This window comes from Homo sapiens, chromosome 15 (genome assembly GCF_000001405.40).
Source record: "Homo sapiens chromosome 15, GRCh38.p14 Primary Assembly".
Classification (NCBI taxonomy): Eukaryota; Metazoa; Chordata; class Mammalia; order Primates; family Hominidae; genus Homo; species Homo sapiens.
In genome coordinates this window covers 26,531,130-26,549,011 of record NC_000015.10, presented here as the reverse complement: position 1 = coordinate 26,549,011, position 17,882 = coordinate 26,531,130, and the positions used below count along the sequence as shown (strand labels likewise).

At 38.6% G+C, this 17,882-nt stretch overlaps 1 protein-coding gene across 6 annotated transcripts in view, besides 2 other annotated features; it reads left to right on the top strand.

The window, feature by feature from the left end:
- Positions 1–5,460, top strand: part of GABRB3 (gamma-aminobutyric acid type A receptor subunit beta3) — a 230,212-nt gene extending 224,752 nt beyond the window's left edge. For all 6 annotated transcript variants that reach the window (NM_021912.5, NM_000814.6, NM_001278631.2 and 3 more), the window contains one exon: positions 878–5,460. In NM_021912.5, the coding sequence (NP_068712.1) occupies positions 878–1,219 (342 nt within the window). In that variant the 3' untranslated portion in view covers positions 1,220–5,460. The remainder of the gene's footprint in view (positions 1–877) is intronic.
- Positions 1,545–2,744: an enhancer, noted in NCBI's record as "CDK7 strongly-dependent group 2 enhancer chr15:26791415-26792614 (GRCh37/hg19 assembly coordinates)". NCBI's record gives its function as "activates an origin of replication core promoter dependent on BRD2, BRD4, P300/CBP, MED14 and CDK7 cofactors, with strong dependence on CDK7, by STARR-seq in HCT116 cells {active_cell/tissue: HCT116}" and the evidence as "EXISTENCE:reporter gene assay evidence [ECO:0000049][PMID:35650434]".
- Positions 17,105–17,604: an enhancer, noted in NCBI's record as "H3K4me1 hESC enhancer chr15:26776555-26777054 (GRCh37/hg19 assembly coordinates)". NCBI's record gives its function as "activates a minimal SCP1, AML or CMV promoter by ChIP-STARR-seq in naive H9 embryonic stem cells {active_cell/tissue: H9 hESC(naive)}" and the evidence as "EXISTENCE:reporter gene assay evidence [ECO:0000049][PMID:30033119]".

Genomic DNA, 17,882 nt, shown 5'->3' with positions numbered 1-17,882 from the left:
TGCTGGAGTGAAAGCCCAGGGGACTGTGGAATGGTCCTTGGGGCTGTGGCAGGGATGGGTACAGCTCAGAAAGCAGATGCTACTAGTTCATTTAAGAAAGGACTCTACTGGGGCCCCCAGCCCCAGGATGTTCTGTGAAAGGTTGAAAGTTCCAGTGCAGACCAACCCACAAACAGAATGGACCTTTGGCATCATCATGAAATGTCTGAAGTTAAATTTGGCACAGAATAAAATGCTATCATTGTAAAGTTTGGCTCCATTGTGGGAAGGGAATTTCGTCTATTTTATATATAGCCCTTCAAAAAGAAGTCTCCTGCCAGAACCAGTATTGGGCAAGGAGAGCCTACCTGAGTTGGGGTTGGGGGGTGTCTGTATCTACTCCACGGAAGTCATCAGGAATGATCTTCGATCACAGGACTATTCATGTGTTTCTCTGTAGTAATTTGGGTGTGTTATATCATCAGAAAAGGGAACAAGATGACTTCCAAAGACAAATGGGAGAATATAGTTTTTATTCAAAGTATAGTTGTGAAAATGGTTAGAGCACCTAAGTTAACATCTTGAAAATCATTTGTACTTTAATCTTTTCAGTAAGGATTTGTATCCATAATGTGAAATTGCAATTTGAAAAAGCCCCTCCCCCTTATTTCATCTAATCTCTTACATGAGCATTTTTAGATCAAGGAAATAAAAATCTCTCAACTGCAATTAACCTCCAAAATGACATTTTCCAATAAAACGGAGTGCTGGATTTGACAGATGTACAGTTTCTCGTAAAACATGCAACATGTGATGGCATGACATCATTCTGTCCGGGATCTGCATAGGGAAATTATGCTGCTGGCTGTCTAACCATGTGCATTTTCCGTCCAATTAGGTGGATGCTCATGGAAATATTCTGTTGACATCGCTGGAAGTTCACAATGAAATGAATGAGGTCTCAGGCGGCATTGGCGATACCAGGAATTCAGCAATATCCTTTGACAACTCAGGAATCCAGTACAGGAAACAGAGCATGCCTCGAGAAGGGCATGGGCGATTCCTGGGGGACAGAAGCCTCCCGCACAAGAAGACCCATCTACGGAGGAGGTCTTCACAGCTCAAAATTAAAATACCTGATCTAACCGATGTGAATGCCATAGACAGATGGTCCAGGATCGTGTTTCCATTCACTTTTTCTCTTTTCAACTTAGTTTACTGGCTGTACTATGTTAACTGAGTGACTGTACTTGATTTTTCAAAGACTTCATTTAACACTGAGTGAAATATTACTCTGCCTGTCAAGTTTTTATACCTGTACACACACAGACACACAAGCAGACACACACATATATACATACGCAATTGTATATATATGTGAACTTTCTCAGCATATATATAAAATACACGTGTATATGAGGATGTATGTGTATATGTTTATACACACAGGAGTCAGTGCCCATGTGTATGGAAGACAAATACACATACATATATACATTTTGCAGCTATGGACAATTTACCACAGGATGCATATTAAAGAAAGTCATAGTTTTTTTCTTTTTTAATTGAAAGGGACAAGTATCATCTAAATATTATGCCTTGAGAATGAGGGCGTGAAACACAATATCATCCCCAAATGTGTCTTGTATTATCATAAGTTAGATGTTTTAGTTTAAAAATCAGAAAGACATTCTTAGTTAATCTTTGAAAACTCATACAGTGGTATTGCTAGTTTAAAATGAGTCACTTACTTCATATCCTCTCGTTCAGTTTAGTAAGCAAAGGCTTCTTGGCTTCTCTGGTGATGGGGTTTGTTTTCATCGGGCATACGTTTTCTGCAATGGTTTAGTGGCTGGGGTGAGCCACTGGCAGTGTGCTTACCTGTTGTCTGAAACATAGATAGATCCCACGTTGATGTCTGAACGACCGTCTTTTGAAAACTCATCGGGAGTGAATGGCATCTCGTTGTAAGTACTCTAATATACAGTGTGTAGTTTGTTTCTGTTGTTCACTTGGAGTGGATCCAGCTTCACTGTCATGTGCGAACACAGTGACACGTTTGGCCAGTGACATTTCAATCACTGAAAATGTGCTCTACATCTCGTATGGATTTCTAGGCCTGATATCCAACAGAAAGCATAGACGTCTCAGGTTATTCGTTACTCTAAGGTAAAACCATCTAGGATGATTTTCCCCCTTGCAGTTATGTTATCATTCTTATAACATTGTATGTTAATAGAAAATATATTTGCATAATATGCATATATATGTATATTTACCAAGATTTTGTTTCTTACGCTTGCTATCATGGCAGCATGCGATGTCATATTTTCCTTTATGTGATGTAACTACTTTCTGTTATCTAGAAATTAAGATTGAAGCTAAAACACTTCTACTGTTCAATTTCAGAAACTAAGAATCATCCTCATGCCTTTATTTCTGTATCTGACATATTTCATAAGCACATCCAACTACTCCTAGACTGACTAGGATTCTGCAGGAACATGACCCGTACACACCACGCGTCACCCAACGACCCATGACCGTTCTCTGAGGCAAAGGAGGGCAACCTGACAGCAAACACAGTCACTGTTGGTTCCTTCTGATCCACAGCCTCATCAGTATTTGGACTTTTTAAAGCTCGTAGAAACAAGACAAGGTGCACCGGTTTCATAGACGCAACCTTAACTTACTATTTAGATGAGATCTTTCTAAAGAAAAAAAAAAGAGATGATATATTTTTTGTAAACAATATTTCTATCACAGGCATCCATAAACTGAAATGACTACAGTTGTGCAAACAGGTGTCACAGTGAAGTTGAGCATTTGGAGAAAAAAATAAAAAGCAAAATTTGCAGGAAGAACTGCTAAATTAATACTTTATCCCAAAATGCCACGTATGCCTCACCCTCTCTGTTCTATCCAAAACCAAGGACCAGAGTGCTCCAATGGTAGGCCCCAGTTGTCTCGATGTAGGTAGAGGCACCACCCTCCCCGAGGATGCGTGTGGTGTGGACTATCCCCATGAGCTGACCACTACTTGATTTTTCTTTGGTGGCCGTAACAACCTTTAATTTGTGGGCATCTGCAACAGTTCAAAACCCACCATCAGATAAAACATAATCCACAAAATCTCACGCTAGAGGCAATTACCTACTTTTAGACCCTTTTCCCTCTTTCATTCCTATCTTTTTCCTCCTAATCGCTGCTCTCTGGTTTTATTTTCATCTGGAGACTAGCCAGGGATTTCTTTGGCTTTGGCTTTTCTCTGACCATTTTTTCCATGGGTAACAATGGGGGATCCTAAAAGTTAAACAGATTGGGAAAAACCTTGTTAAGTGGCCTTATCATTATTATCATGTTAAAGAAAAAAAATACATTTGCAAAGACCTTATCCCTTTCAATACTTCAGGTATCTTTTTCTGTATCCAGTAATTAAAGGTGTGAGGTCCACATGCAGAAGAGGGACCCCAAAATGTAAATGGATGTGGACAAAAACAGTCAATGGTCTATTTAAGTGTATAATTTATACTATTCAGAACTGTGACATTAATTCTTTCTGGGAGAAAAGTGATTTAAAACTTTTTTGATGCATAGTTGAGGTACCCAAATATCAAAGGCAGAGACCCCATGGGGCTCCAAAGAGCTGCAGTCTCCTTCCCAAGGTTTTCTGGATATAAATTTGCATGGTATAGTCATAATAGCTTTTGAGCTTTTTATATGCATTTGGCACCAAGACTGGGATCCACAACTTTGTAGACACTGCGATGAAGTTAACATATTAGCTATACTATAAATAGTGTTTGTAACTACACACACACACACACACACACACACAAATACATACATATATTCTGTAAAAACAAAAAAAAACTTTTTAAGATCCTTGGGTATGTGTTTGCTTTACTCCATTTCAGAAGAAAATTACTTTTCTTCTAACAAAATTATTTTATAGCTTCTCCATTTTTAAAACTTGTGAGAGCATTGAGAAGAGAACTCTGACTGTGTTAACAGAAGAGAGTTGAATTGGAGTCTCTGTTGTGTTAAAATGACCTCTCGTTACTCCACAGTAGTTATTTGAGCCAGTGACTGAGTCGCGTTGAGGAATTCTGAACCCGGACCTCTGACGTTGTTGGGAGGTGGCTGTTACCCACACCCAGACCTCTTGAGTAAGGACAGAAACGTTATCATTGGGGATATAATGAGATTTCTTTCTTAACAATTGAAAGTAATAAAGAGTTAATTTTCTCAGTAGTCCTGTCTTTCCAAAATGCGCCACAGGGGCTCAAGATCTACAGAAGAATCTTGTTATGACAGTTTGTTATTACCCATATTCAGATATCCTTGAGATAATGGAAGAGCCCTGCTACATAACTCCCTACAGAGAAAGACTGATAGACTTGAGTAGTCCTTAAAACAAGTGTTATTCCTGTTCACCAACCCCGGGACTGTGGAGGGGTTTCACTGTCTATACCATGCGACATCCATTTCCCCTGAATCTCAAACGAACTAGAAAGTATGTCATGATAATATTTCCATTAGATTTGGAAGCTACCTGTACATCTGCAATATTGTGTTTTTAACGCCAGCACCCAGAACTTTGACATGTTCAGTCACTCCCTGAAAGGCACTTCTCTCTTGTCCAAACACAGCGTTGACATTTTTACTGAGGAGATCATCTCAAAGGTGATGCCAAACGAGTCTGGGGCTGGTTTTAAGGGGACAGGCACATTGCAGTTGTAGGTGTTCATTTTCAGCATCTAGTAGATAATCCATTGGTGTTTGTCCCACCATTGGTGTATTCTAACAAGAATGTGTCCAACTTTGAATCTCCTGGCTTGAAAGTATAAACCATCACTTAATTCTTATTTTAACTCTCCACCTGAAAACCAGTTCATATTTCTGGCCATTTTATGTAAGCAAAACTGAACAATTGGTGAAACATTTTGTTACTCTTGGAATTGACTCTGGCTGTCAGTGTGAGCCATTAGAGTAACATCGAATCTTGGGGCAAAGAACTGCCCAGGTGAATTAAATTTTTCCAGGACACTAGCTAGTGTGCCTTGGATTGATTACCTCTTCTACTGCATTGAAAGGCGCCATGTTTTCCTGAAATACTAAATTCCCAACACCTGGGTAAACAATGACCTTCCAGAGAGTGGCTCCCGTATGCCTCTCCCTAGGACCAACCCCATGAACATGTTTTGTCACGTTTGTCTCATGTTTCTACTTCACAAGTCAGTGAGTGTGTTTAAGGTAAGTACAGGATTATTCTAGTAGGAATAGGCGATTGCTGTCATAATCAATTCTCATGTTGATTTCATTTTATTGTAAAGATAAATTTAAACCCAGTTTTGCTTAAGCACATTGATGTAATTTTTTGGTATTATTTGACATGAAAAAACAGCAAAATTGAGTGATAGATACAATATGAAACTTGTTGATGAATGAATTCAAATTTATTAAAAAAGGAGTAACTGACCTAAATGTGAAGACTGATTTTTTTTTCTTCCTTGGCTATCTTGTGAAGATGGTGTGGTTATTTTAATTCTAGTCATTCTTGCACATGCCCTTTTGGGTTATGCTGAAAGTAAAAAAAAATAAGCCCGAAGTTGACTGCATGTGAGATCAATTGAACTATGACTTAAAAAAACGAAAATCACAATTTATCCTCAACTTCAAAGGACAACTAGACACACAGAGATCTAACTTGTCCCTGTCTTCAAATAGGTATTTTAAGCAAGTAATATTTTTATATTAAAAGTCAGGGAGCCACCCTACCTATAAGCTCTGGCCAAGGTGGTATTGATCCTTATCTTGAGTTCTTTAGGCAATTTCTTTGTTTTTTTTCTCCAGTGAGAAAGTACCAAGCAATGTCTCAGAACTAATTAATTAATTAATTCAGATCCTTGGACACTTTAGGTAGAACTTTTATTGAGAAATATATTTCTAGGCCTCCAGAGAAGCTGTTGGTTCACCTGCAAACACCTTAAAAGGAAGGTTCCCCAATGGTGGTTTAAGTCTCACAAAATGTCCTCAGGCTTACCTCCAAATTTCCTAACTGTTAAGCAAAATAATGCAGATTCTTTGGGAATTCTTTACAGGTCCTGTTTTCATTCTTTTTTTCCATTGTTTGGACAAGTTTTTTACATTTCTGGTCTACTTGGGGACCCCAACTTGGACATATTCCACACTAATTCTTCGTCTAAGGCTGGAACATCACGAATGGGGACAGTTCTCACCCATTTCACTAGGTTAAAACCTTATCCATCCCAGGGGACAATCTTAAATTACCATAACCACAGAAGAAAGGATTTTCAAATACTGACTGGATTTCTAAAAGCTTTTTCTTTAAAGAGTATTCTTCTTTTAATTGGTGGAGGAAGCCTCCCTGCATGTGGGGCCCAGTGATACCCAGACCATGTCTGCACAGCCTCCTCACTCCTGTCTCATCACTGCCCTGCTCACACCCACGTGTGACACCGTCTTACAATTTCTGCTCTAACTTCCTTTTTACTGGCTTCTAAAGGATAGGGTTTATGAGCCCTCCTATGAATGGGAACATTATTCTTCAAAGAAGACAGACTCTTTGGAACCTGTGATACCATTTTTAAGGTAGGACACGCAGCCCCATGTTGCTAAACCAGTAATGGTTATTGATTGAGGTACTCCTGGCATTAGAGGGACTTGTGCTTCATGGCCCTTGGCTTTTATAGAAACAAGTTCCAGTTAGAATCAACAGGCAAGCAATGTAGAGGGTACTTGTAAGTAAAATGCAATTCATTGAAATGGCAAGTTGGGTGTGGGTGTGGGTCTGTGCATCTTGAAACCAAATAGGAAACTAGTTAGTGGCTCTCATAACCAGCTGGTTTTAGGAAAATGTCTTCATAACCTGCATCTCCATTTCTTATTTCACTAGATATGGGAATTTGTCTCTTGACTTCCCATTTTTTTAGATAAAGATACAATGCCCCCATCCTTCCATGTGTTTCTCTTTCTCTTTTCCACCTCCCACCTTCTGTTTGCTGTAACTATAGTTTTACATTATCTAGGTGGAAAGCATTTACACTGAGATCATAAAATTATATTTCAGTATTTAATATTATGTTTACAGATTGATCCTAAAAGTTGAAAACTAACAACAACCCACATTATTGAGCTGTACTATGTAAGTATGGTTCAAGGTTTAGTATTTTGTTTGAATGTGTAAAGATAAACATTAGAAGAAGAAGAAGAACAGAAATACTGTAGTGCTTTTAGCCTGGAAAGTGGAATTTGTTGATGGCATGTGAAAAAAGAGATGTTCTATCAGCTGTTACTTCGTTGTCAAGATCCAGAACTTTTACATTTGGCACTCTAACTATACTTCAGCCTTGAGGGGTTTACTTATAAATAAACTCTAAAAGTTACAAACAAATTAACAACTGTGATGTTATTAAGATTATATAAATATTATTGAAAGCAGAGCTAAGCAGTTTGCTTGGGTTTCTTTCTCACCTTTAGAAGTCCAATGTCTCAACTTTGGGCTATATTCCTAAGATTGAAGTCAAATGAATTATTTTTCTTACATTCCTTCAGTTGATCCAAACCACATGACATTTATGTTTGCATCAAGACCTTCTTAGGTTTCATTTCACTCTGTCACCCACAAATATCTATTCTGGGGTTTCTAATTTGCATTCTTTTTTAATGAAGAGAGACGTATGTGCTTTCTTGACTGTGTGCATAATATTACCACCACTTCAGTCATTAAATTTATTATTGGGAACCTTTTCCATTTTCCTTCATGAAAATATTCTTCTTGGCATTGACTAACTTCCCGTACAAATTAGGATTGTTGCAAACTAATTCCTCGTTATAAATCTCATCCCGTGATTTATTTTCACTAAACTCCTATATTCCGTAATTTTTAAATATCGTTCATGTTTTTCCTTTTTTCTGGTTTTGTCCCCATTTTGCCTAATTTCATCTTCAGTTAATGTCTCAGGAAGAGCATAGGTGACCGGAGGTTTTGAGGCTTCATGCGTCTCTTGACTCTTCCTTTGGTCCTTCATGTTTAATTGGTAGTTAGCAAGGTATTGACTTGTGTGTTGGAAAGTAATCTCCCTAGAACTTTGAAATCCTTGCACCATTGTATTTTATCATTCAATGATGCTGATAACAGGCTTGATGTCAGATGATCCTATTTGCTTATAGGTTACTCACCCCCAACTTCTCACTTCCTCACTATCCCCACCCAACCAACCCTGGCCAAGTGAGGTTTTTCTGGTATTTCATAAAGGTGAATTTAGTATGAATCTTTTGTTTATGGTGTTGGATCCTGAGCGAAACTCTCATCCTAAAGATCTGCATCTCTTAGCTCTAAACATTTTTCTTCTATTACTTTTTAGAAAATTTCTTCTGCCTCTTACTAGTCTGATTTTGCACTTAATGGTTTGATTCTTAATATATAGTCTTTCTGTCCTGTTCTAGATTTTTTTTTTTGTCTGTTAGCTATGTTTTCTGGGAAATTGTTTTTATCTTTCAACAATTCTATTTTATTTTCTAAATGGCATTTTTAAATTATAAATGACACACAAAAACCGCACATATTTAAAGTGTGTAATTTAATAAACTTTGACATCATGAAACAATCTTCACAATCAAAATAGAAAACATTCGTCCCCACCAAAATTTTACTAGCATCACTTTATAATATCTCCACCCCACTCTAAGCCTTCCAATCCTGTCTCCAAGCAACAACAAATGTGCTTTCAACAATTGATACACTAGGGATAAGTTTGCATTTTCTAAAATCTTATATAAATGAAATCAAATAGTACACACTCTTTTTTCTCTACCCTTTGACTCAGCATAGGTATATAAGATTCATCCATGTTGTTGTGTGATCAGCAGCTCAGTTTTATCACCGAGTTGTATGCATTGTATGACTACACAACAATTTGTTATCCATTCACCTGTTGATAGACATTTGGGTTGTTTCTACTTTTTGACTCTTGAATATAAAGCTGCTATGAACATCCATGCACAAGTCTTTGCATACTTCTGTGCTTTCATTTTTCACTTGATCTTAGCTAAAAGGCCGAAAAGTGAAATGCTTTCATTTTTCTTGGCTAAAGACACAAGAAAGGATCTTATGGTGGTATATGTTTAACTTTTTATGAAACTACCAAACTGTTTTTCAAACTAGTTTCACCATTGCACATTTTACCATTTGTGTTTGAGAATTTCAATTCCTCCACATATTCTCCAATACTTGGTGTGGTCAATCTTTCAAATTTTAGCCATTCTAAGAGTTGTGTAGTGGTATTTCTTTTAGTTACAATTGGTATTTTATTATTAATTAATGATATTAAGCATCTTTCCTTATGTTTACTTGCCTGTTTACATCTTCTGTCCATTTTAATTGGTTTGTTTCTTATTGTGTTTTGAGAGTTCTTCACATATTTTGGATACAAATCCATTATAAGATATATGCTTCGCTTTGTAACTTTTCCCTCCTATTCCTTGGCTTCTCTTTTATTCTCTCAGCAGTTTTTCAGAGAGTATAAGGTTTTAATTTTGATGAAGCCCAAATTATTTTTCTCTTATGGGTTATGCATTTGGTATTGTATTTAAGAAATCTTTTCCTGACCAAAGGTCCTCAAGAATTTTCCTTATATTTTTTTCTAGAAGCTTTATAGCTTTAGGTATCACATTTAGACTTATGATACATTTTGAGTTAACATTTGCATATACTGTGAGATATAAATGAAAGTTCATTTTCTACATATGCATACCCAATTGTTAAACACCATTTGTTAAATAAGAAAAAACTATCCTTTCCCTGCTGAGTTGACTTTGCATCCTTGCTGAAAATCAATTGTCTGTATACATATGTTGGTTCATATCTAGACTCTCCTGTTCCACATGGCTATGTTGCAGTCAATGTCACACTGTCTTAACCTGTGGTTTTATAATAAGGCTTAAAGTCATGTAGTGTTAGTTTATCAAATTTGTTATTCTTTTTCAAACGAGTTTCAGCTATTTTAGGACCTTTTCATTTCCTTAAGAAGTTTAGAACTGGCTTGGTAATATACACACACAAAAAAAAGCCTTCTGGGAATTTGATTGGAACTGCATTGAATTTATAGATTTGTGGAGAATTGCTACCCTAACAATGTTAAGTCTTCTGGCCCATAAACACTGTTTACCTCTCCACTGTGCATCATTGCCAGAGTTTCTCAGCCTTGGCACGTTGACATTTTGGACTGAGTAACTTTTTGTTGTGGGGAACTGTTCAGCAGCATCCCTGGCCTCTACTCATCATATTCCAGTTGCATAACTTGTTTTCCCCATCCCCAGGTGTGACAACCAAAAATGTTTCCAGACATTGCCAAATGTCCCCTGAAGCAAAAAAAAAAAAAAACCAAAAACTGACTGAAAACCACTAGCTTAAGTCTTTTAACATTTCTCTCAGCAGTAGTTTTCGGGTTTTTTTTTTTTTTTTCTGGACGGGGTTTCGCTCTTAGTTGCCCAGGCTGGAGTGCAATGGCGTGATCTCGGCTCACTGCAACTCCTGCTTCCTGGGTTCAAGTGATTCTACTGCCTCAGCCTCCCAAGTAGTTGGGATTACAGGCATGCACCACCACACCCAGCTAATTTTGTGTTTTTAATAGAGACAGGGTTTCTCCATGTTGGTCAGGCTAGTCGTGAACTCCCGACCTCAGGTGATCTGCCCGCCTTGGCCTCCCAAAGTGCTGGGATTATAGGCGTGAGCCACCGCGCCCTGCCAGTTTTCAGTTTCCAGTGTAGAGACCTTGTATACCTTTTGTCAGATTTATTCCTATTATTTTATATTTAGGGGTGTTACTGTAAATGCTAATTTTTAAATTTCAATTTCTCATTGTTGCTGGTATGTAGAAATGCAGTTGACTTTTGTATATTGACCTGTATTTTGAAATAGTACTAAACTCACTAATTAGTTCTAGTAGCTCTTTAAAGTGACTCCCTCAGATTTTTTACATAGACAGTATTGCTGTCTCTAAATAAAGAGAATTTTACTTTTTTCTTGCCAGTCTGGATGCCTTTTATTTCTGTTTCTTGCTTTATTTCATCAGCAAGAACCTCCAGTACAATGCTGAATAGAAATGGCAATAATGTTCTGGCCTGGTTCCTGACGTGACAGAGAAAGCATTTAGTCTCCCACAATGAAGTTAGTGTTTGCTGTAGGTTTTCATACACGCCCTTCATCAGATTGACAAAGTTCCCTTCTTGTCTTAGTTTTCTGAGTGCATTTCATCAGGAATGCATATTAGATTTTTTCAAATGCTTCTACTCCTAATGAGTTGATGATAAAGCTGTTTTTCTTTTTTTCATGTGATGAATTATATTGATTGGTTTTTGAATGTATACATATATATACATACATACATACATTTTATATATATATATACTTTAAGTTCTGGGATACATGTGCAGTACGAGCAGGTTTGTTACATAGGTACACACGTGCCATGGTGATTTGCTGCACCTATCAACCCATCATCTACGTTAGGTATTTCTCCTAATGCTATCCCTCCACTAGCCCCCCATCCCCTGACAGGCCCTGGTGTGTGATGTTCTCCTCCCTGTGTCCATGTGTTCTCATTGTTCAAGTCCCACTTATGAGTGACAACATGCAGTGTTTGGTTTTCTGTTCCCGTGTTAGTTTGCTGAGAATGATGTTTTCCAGCTTCATCCATGTCCCTGCAAAGGACATGAACTCATGTTTTTTATGGCTGCATAGTATTCCATGGTGCATATGTGCCACATTTTCTTTACCCAGTCTAACAATAATGGGCATTTGGGTTGGTTCCAAGTCTTTGCTATTGTGAATTGTGCTGCAATAAACATACATGTGCATGTGTCTTTATAGCAGAATGATTTATAATCCTTTGAGTATATACCCAGTAATGGGATTGCTGGGTCAAATGGTATTTCTAGTTCTAGATCCTTGAGGAGTCACCACACTGTCTTCCACAATGGTTGAACTAATTTACACTCCCACCAACAGTGTAAAATCTTTCCTATTTCTCCACATCCTCTCCAGTATCTGTTGTTTCCTAACTTTTTAATGATCACCATTCTAACTGGCATGAGATGGTATCTCATTTTGGTTTTGATTTGCATTTCTCTAATGACCAGTGATGATGAACTTTTTCTCACATGTTTATTGGCCGCATAAATATCTTCTTTTGAAAAGTGTCTGTTCATATCCTTCACCCACTTTTTGATGGAGTTCTTTGTTTTTTTCTTGTAAATTTCTTTAAGTTTTCTTAAAGAAATTTCTTGTAAATTTCTTGTAAGTTCCTTGTAGATTCTTGATATTAGCCCTTTGTCAGATGGATAGATTCAAAAATTTTCTCCCAATTCTGTAGGTTGCCTGTTCACTCTGATGATAGTTTCTTTTGCTGGGCAGAAGCTCTTTAGTTTAATTAGGTTCCATTTGTCAATTTTGGCTTTTGTTGCCATTGTTCTAAATTCGTTGTTTAAGTCATGAATTCTTTGCCCATGCCTATGTCCTAAATGGTACTGCCTAGGTTTTCTTCTAGGGTTTTTATGGTTTTAGGTCTTACATTTAAATCGTCAATCCATCTTGAGTTAATTTTTGTATAAGGTGTAAGGAAGGAGTCCAGTTTCAGTTTTCTGCTTATGGCTAGTCAGTTTTCCCAACACCATTTATTAAACAGGGAATCCTTTCTCCATTGCTTGTTTTTGTCAGGTTTGCCAAAGATCAGATGGTTGTAGATGTGTGGTGTTATTTCTGAGGCCTCTGTTCTATTCCATTGATCTATATATCTGTTTTGGTACCAGTACCATGCTGTTTTGGTCACTGTAGCCTTGTAGTATAGTTTGAAGTCAGGTAGCCTGATGTCTCCAGCTTTGTTCTTTTTCCTTAAGATTGTCTTGGCTATACGGGCTCTTTTTTGGTTCCATATGAAATTTAAAGTAGTTTTTTCTAATTCTGTGGAGAAAGTTAATGGTAGCTTGATGGGAATAGCATTGAATCTATAAATTACTTTGGACAGTTTGGCCAAATTCATGAAATTCATGAAAATTCACAATATTGATTCTTCCTATCCATGAGCATGGAATGTTTTTCCATTTGTTTGTGTCCTCTCTTATTTCCTTGAGCAGTGGTTTGTAGTTCTCCTTTAAGAGGTCCTTCACATCCCTCGTAAGTTGTATTTTTAGGTATTTTATTATCTTTGTAGCAATTGTGAATGGGAGGTTGCTCATGATTTGGCTCTCTGTTTGTCTATTATTGGTGTACAGGAATGCTTGTGATTTTTGCATATTGATTTTGTATCCAGAGACTTTGCCAAAGTTGCTTATCAACTTAAGGAAAGTTTTGGGGCTGAGACGATGGGGTTTTCTAAATACACAATCATGTCATCTGCAAACAGAGATAATTTGACTTCCTCTCTTCCTACTTGAATATGCTTTATTTCTTTCTCTTGACAGAATGCCCCAGCCAGAACGTCCAATACTATGTTGAATAGGAGTGGTGAGAGAGGGCATCCTTGACTTGTGCCGGTTTTCAAAGGGAATGCATCCAGCTTTTGTCCATTAGGTATGGTATTGAATGTGGGTTTGTCATAAATAGCTCTTATTATTTTGAGAGATATTCCATCAATATCTAGTTTATTGAGTGTTTTCAGCATGAAGGGGTGTTGAATTTTATCAAAGGCCTTTTCTGCATCTATTGAAACAATCATGTGGTTTTTGTCACTGGTTCTGTTTATGTGATGAATTACATTTATTGATTTGCATATGTTGAACCAGCCTTGCATCCTAGGGATGAAGCTGACTTGATTGGGATAGATACGCTTTTTGATGTGCAGCTGGATTTTGTTTGCCAGTATTTCATTGAGGATTTTCATATCAAAGTTCATCAGGGATGTTGGCCTGAAATTTTCTTTTTGTGTGTGTGTCTCTTCCAGGTTTGGTATCCGGATGATGCTGGCCTCATAAAATGAGTTAGGGAGTAGTCTTTCTTTTTCTGTTGTTTGGAATAGATTCAGAAGGAATGGTACCATCTCCTCTTTGTACCTCTGGTAGAATTTGGCTGTGAATCTCTCTGGTCCTGGGCTTTTTTTGGTTGCTAGGCTATTAATTACTGCCTCAATTTCACTTGTTATTGGTCTATTCAGGGATTCGACTTCTTCCTGGTTTAGTCTTAGGAGGATGTATGTGTCCAGGAATTTATCCATTTCTTCGAGATTTTCTACTTTATTTACATAGAGGTATTTACAGTATTCTCTGATGGCAGTTTGTATTTCTGTGGGATCAGTGGTGATTTCCCATTTATCATTTTTTATTGTGTCTATTTGATTCTTCTCTCTTTTTTTCCTACTCTTTTTTTTTTTTTCTTCTCTTCTTTTCATCTTTTTCTCTCTTTTCTCTGGCTAGTGGTCTATCTATTTTGTTAATCTTGTCAAAAAACCAACTCCTGGATTCACTGATTTTTTAAAGGGTTTTTCATATCTCTATCTCCTTCAGTTCTGCTCTGATCTTAGTTATTTCTTGTCTTCTGCTAGCTTTTGAATTTGTTTGCTCTAGCTTCTTTAGTTCTTTTAATTGTGATGTTAAGGTGTTGATTTTAGATCTTTTCCGCTTTCTCCTGTGGGCATTTAGTGCTATAAATTTCCCTCTAAACACTGCTTTAGCTGTGCCCCAGAGATTCTGGTACATTGTGTCTTTGTTCTCATTGATTTCAAATAACTTATTCATTTCTGCCTTAATTTTGTTATTTACCCATTAGTCATTCAGAGCAGGTTGTTCGTTCCATGTAGTCATGCAGTTTTGAGTGAGTTTCTTATTCCTGAGTTCTAATTTGATTGCACTGTGGTCCAAGAGACTGTTTGTTATGATTTTTGTTCTATTGCATTTGCTGAGAAGTGTTTTACTTCCAATTACATGGTTGATTTTAGAATAAGTGCTATGTGGTGCTGAAAAGAATGTATATTCTGTTGATTTGGGGTGGAGAGTTCTGTAGATGTCTATTAGGTCCACTTGGTCCAGAGCTGAGTTCAAGTCCTGAATATCCTTACTAATTTTCTGTCTCATTGATCTAATATTGACAGTGGGGTGTTAAAAGTCTCCCACTATTATTATGTGGGAGTCTAAGTTTCTTTGTAGGTCTCTACAAACTTGTTTTATGAATCTGGATGCTCCTGTATTGGGTGCATATATATTTAGGATAGTTAGCTCTTGTTGTTGCATTGATCGCTTTACCATTATGTAATGGCCTTCTTTGTCTCTTTTGATCTCTGTTGGTTTAAAGTCTGTTTTATAAGAGACTAGGATTGCAACCCCTGCTTTATTTTGTTTTCCATTTGATTGGTAAATCTTCCTCCATTTCTTTATTTTGAGCCTGTGTGTGTCTTTGCATGTGAGATGGGTCTCCTGAATACAGCACACTGATGGATCTTGACTCTTTATCCAATTTGCCAATCTGTGCCTGTTAATTGGGGCATTTAGTCTGTTTCCATTTAAGGTTAATATTGTTGTGTGTGAATTCCATCCTGTCATTATGATGCTCGCTGGTTATTTTGCCCATTAGTTGATACAGTTTCTTCATAGTGTTGATGGCCTTTACATTTTGGTTTGTTTTGCAGTGGCTGGTACCGGTTTTTCCCTTCCATATTTAGTGCTTCCTTCAGGAGCTCTTGTAAGGTAGGCTGCCTGGTGGCTACAAAATCCCTCAGCATTTGCTTGTCTGTAAAGGATTTTATTTCTCCTTCACTTATGAAGCTTAGTTTGGCTGGATATGAAATTGTGGGTTGAAAATTCTTTTCTTTAAGAATGTCGAATATTGGTCCCCACTCTCTTCTGGCTTGTAGGATTTCTGCCAAGAGATCCACTGTTAGTCTTATAGGCTTCCCTTTGTGGCTAACCTGACCTTTCTCTCTGGCTGCTCTTAACATTTTTTCCTTCATTTCAGCCTTGGTGAATTGGACGATTATGTGTCTTGGGGTTGCTCTTCTCAAGGAGTATCTTTGTGGTATTCTCCATATTTCCTGAATTTGGATGTTGGCCTGTCTTGCTAGGTTGGGGAAGTTCTCCTGGATAGTGTCCTGAAGTGTGTTTTCCAACTTGGTTCCATTCTCCCCATCACTTTCAGGCACATAATCAAATGTAGATTTGGTCTTTTCACATAGTTTCATATTTCTTGGAGGCTTTGTTCATTCCTTTTCCTTCTTTTCTTCTCTAATCTTCACACTTTATTTCATTAAGTTGATTTTCAATCTCTGATATCCTTTCTTCTGCTTGATCAATTTGGCTATTGATACTTGTACATGCTTCACAAAGTTCTTGTGCTGTATTTTTCAGCTCCATCAGGTCATTTATGTTCTTCTCTAAACTGGTTATTCTAGTTAGCAATTCCTCTAACCTTTTATCAACGTCCTTAGCTTCCTTGCATTGGGTTAGAATATGCTCCTTTAGCTCAAAGGAGTTTGTTATTACCAACCTTCAGAAGCCTACTTATGTCAATTCGTCAAACTCATTCTCTGTCCAGTTTTGTTCCCTTGCTGGCATGGAGTTGTGATCCTTTGGAGGAGAAGAGGCATTCTGGTTTTGGAATTTTCAGCCTTGTTGCGCTGGTTTTTCCTCATCTTTGTGGATTTATCTACCTTTGGTCTTTTCTGTTGGTGATCTTTGGATGCAGTTTTTGCATGGTCGTCCTTTTTGTTGATGTTGATGTTACTGCTTTCTGTTCGTTAGTTTTCCTTCTAACAGTCAGGCCCCTCTTCTGCAGTTCCGCTGAAGTTTGCTGGGGGTCCACTCCAGACGCTGTTTGCCCTGCTATCACCAGCAGAGGCTGCAGAACAGCAAAGATTGCTGCCTGTTCCTTCCTCTGGAAGCTTCATCCCAGAAGGGAAGCCTCCAGATGCCAGCCAGAGCTCTCCTGTATGAGGTGTCTGTCAACCCCTGCTGGGAGGTGTCTCCCCATTAGGAGGCACAGGGGTCAGCAACCCACTTGAGAAGGCAGTCTGTTCCTTAGCAGAGCTCAAGCACTGTGCTGGGAGATCCGCTGCTCTCTTCAGAGCCAGCAGGCAGGAACGTTTAAGTCTGCTGAAGCTGTGCCCACAGCCACCCCTTCCCTCAGGTGCTCTGTCCCAGGGAGATGGGAGTTTTATAAGCCCCTGACTGGGGCTGCTGCCTTTCTTTCAGAGATGTCATGCCCAGAGAGGAGGAATCTATAGAGGCAGTCTGACTACAGCAGCGTTGAGGCACTGCTGTGGGCTCTGCCCAGTCCAAATTGCCCAGCGGCTTTGTTTACACTGTAAGGGGAAAACAGCTTACTCAAGCCTCAGTAATGGCAGATGCCCCTCCCCCCACCAAACAGGAGCATCCTAGGTCAACTTCAGAGTGCTGTGCTAGCGCAAGAATTTCAAGCCAGTGGATCTTAGCTTGCTGGGCTCCTTGGGGGTGGGATCTGCTGAGCAAAACCACTTGGCTCCCTGGCTTCAGCCTGCTTTCCAGGGGAGCAAACCGTTCTGTCTCACTGGTGTTCCAGGTGCCACTGGGGTATGAAAATAAACTCCTGCAGCTAGCTTGGTGTCTGCCCAAACGGCTGCCCAGTTTTGTGCTTGACACCCAGGGCCCTGGAGGTGTAAGCACCCGAGGGCATCTCCTGCTCTGTGGGTTGCGAAGACTGTGGGAAAAGCATAGTTAGTATCTGGGCCAGATAGCACCATCCTTTGCAACAGGCACGGTTCCTCATGGCTTCCCTTGGCTAGGGGAGAAACTTCCCCGACCCCTTGCACTTCCCGGGTGAGGTGATGCCCCACCCTGTTTCTGCTTGCCCTGTATGGACTGCACCCACTGTCTAACCAGTCCCAATGAGATGAACCAGGTACCTCAGTTGGAAATGC